Source organism: Homo sapiens, chromosome 3 (genome assembly GCF_000001405.40).
Source record: "Homo sapiens chromosome 3, GRCh38.p14 Primary Assembly".
In the NCBI taxonomy this organism is placed as follows: domain Eukaryota; kingdom Metazoa; phylum Chordata; class Mammalia; order Primates; family Hominidae; genus Homo; species Homo sapiens.
In genome coordinates, this window is record NC_000003.12 from 70,532,391 (window position 1) to 70,534,848 (window position 2,458).

Consider the following 2,458-nt stretch of genomic DNA (forward strand, 5'->3'; position numbering starts at 1 on the left):
GTGTATTCATATGGCAAAATGCAAGACAGTCAGTAATAGTTTCAGTTCTGTCCATTGGTTCGTTTAAGATGCGTACTGCCTAATGCCATTAGAATTGAACATTGTTTTCCTAGTAATAAAAGACATGAAGTTCTTAGCAATTTGTGCCTTCAGAAGGATGATTTCCTATTTAAAATGCTCTAAAGTAAAACATACATCACCCACATAGCACTTAATTTTTGAAAATGCATATACTTTTCTAACTAGCTACTCTAGGAAAATGTGCTGAATGATTTAATTTCATATTAAGGTGCAAATGTGGTACTGGATTTGCGTTGAGACACAAGTGTTTTGCCTCTGAGAGCAAAGCTTTCTGAAAGATTTTCACCACCAGATTCAAAACTACCGAATTCAACATCTGATAGTAATGACATGATTCTCTCACTTTAAGAAAAGCACATTGATTTTAGACATATTGAAACTCAGAAGTTTTAGAAGTGTGTTTGGGTTAAGGTTAAGTCGTCCTTGACAGTATTAAAAGAAAGGTTTGAATTGTTGAATAACCACCTTTCACCCATCCTTAATTGTAATTTAAATGACAATATGCTCTCAATCAATAGCTCTTTGTCACACTGTGAAGATCAAGGGATGAGATTTTACCCCATGAGTTTACAAGGCAAAAGCTCCTTGTTCACATCCCTAAAGATGTTGCATTAGAATACCTGTTCTCCAACAATTCGTCCTGGATAAAGGCATCTGAGTCACATCTTAAAGGTGTAACATTAGAAAAAGTCAAAACCTTTGTTTTTGAAATTTGCTCCAAGCTAGATATCACAATAAAAATACCAATTTAAAAAGCTAAATTATTCTTATGTGAATTTGACTAGTTTAACTTTAGTCATTTTGTTCTCATAGATAATTTCTGTGCATTTGCTGTGTTCTGGGCACTGTGCTAGGCACATTTACATTAAGTTTCTTTATTCTTTGAGGAGTCAACCTCTGAGGTAGGACCTAGTATTTATCCCCATTGAACAGATGAAACTCAGAGATTGAGTCATGTTCCCTCGTCACACTGCTAGGGAAGGGAGAAGCTTTGACAAAATGAATTCTAAATGCACCTCTGAGCACTTAACAAGCCTCCTGAACTTTTCACATGATGAAAATTCAATGTGACTAAACACAACCACTTCTTTTCTCCCAAATCTCTCTATGTAGAAGTTTAAAAATATATCATAAGCACTTTGCTCATGTACTATTGTAATGTAAAACTACATTTAGCACTTATAGAATATACTTTATACATAGAAACAGGCACTTTTACTATTTTTCTCCTGCTTTCCAAGTAGAATGCATTTGAACACTGGCATATGCACTACATTTTGTTATCATATTCATAGGGTGATATTGAATTTCCAGTCCAGCCAGGCTGTGCCTATTTAGGCTTAGATAAGATGGAGCCCACCTCTGTAGACACTGACCGATGAACTCATAATTAGCTCTGAACATGTAGGACCCCAGTCCACCAGTTAATTTTTAAGATTCCAACATCAACTTTAATATATGACCAGACAATTGTCCTGTAAATGTTAAGAGATCCTTCAATTCTCTGCTAGTTGCCAAGGTTAATAATGGTGATTTTTGTGGAGGGTATATGATTTGTTGGGCTAGAGGGGGCTTACTTGTCTTTGGGACTCATTTGCAAACCAAAAAAATGAAGTACTTTCCACCTATTCTAAAATGCATCTTTATACTCTCTACGAAGTAGTTACCATTATACCCATTTTACAAATGAGGAAAGAATCCAGAGATATTAAATAAGCAGCCAATGCCACAGTTAATAAGTGGCAGAGCTGGGATTCTACTTTATGTCTGCCTCATTTCAATGCCTGTGTTTTAAGGCCAAAGTTGACCTAGTCATTTACTCCTGTGTGTAGACTCTTCCCCTTCTAATTAGCAAAGTGCATTTTTATGGCGGTCACCCAGGATTGGGGTTGTGTTGGGAGACTAGAAGTCACTAGCATGTGCCCATTGACATCTCTATACCTTCTTAATGAAAGAAGCTGCTGGGGCTGCTCTTGAGGTATGACTACGGCTTGTAAAACAGTACACGCTCACGGTAAGAATGTCTAACTTAGGTGACTTCAGCATTACACAATTGGCAACTACAACCCCCCAAAAGGCATGGGGGAATTAGTTTTAATAGTGCCAGTCATTCCACCTGCCATTGCATGTGGAGTGAGAGTGAGGTGGGAGCTGGCAATCTGCTATTCCCTCAGCCAGTCTTGGCTAACTTGCCTTGTGAGTCTGTTGTTTAAAGATAAGTATTTAGCCATCATCATCATCATTAATAGTATCTTGAGAGAAAACATTTGCAATTTTTTCTCTTTTTGAGATGGAGTCTCACTCTGTTGCCCAGGCTGGAGTGCAGTGGCTCAATCTCGGCTCACTGCAACCTCCATCTCCTGGGCTCAAGCAATTC

General features: G+C 37.8%; 1 annotated feature.

Annotated features, from left to right (window-relative positions):
- Window positions 235-1,184: an enhancer, noted in NCBI's record as "OCT4-NANOG-H3K4me1 hESC enhancer chr3:70581776-70582725 (GRCh37/hg19 assembly coordinates)". NCBI's record gives its function as "activates a minimal SCP1, AML or CMV promoter by ChIP-STARR-seq in naive and primed H9 embryonic stem cells {active_cell/tissue: H9 hESC(naive and primed)}" and the evidence as "EXISTENCE:reporter gene assay evidence [ECO:0000049][PMID:30033119]".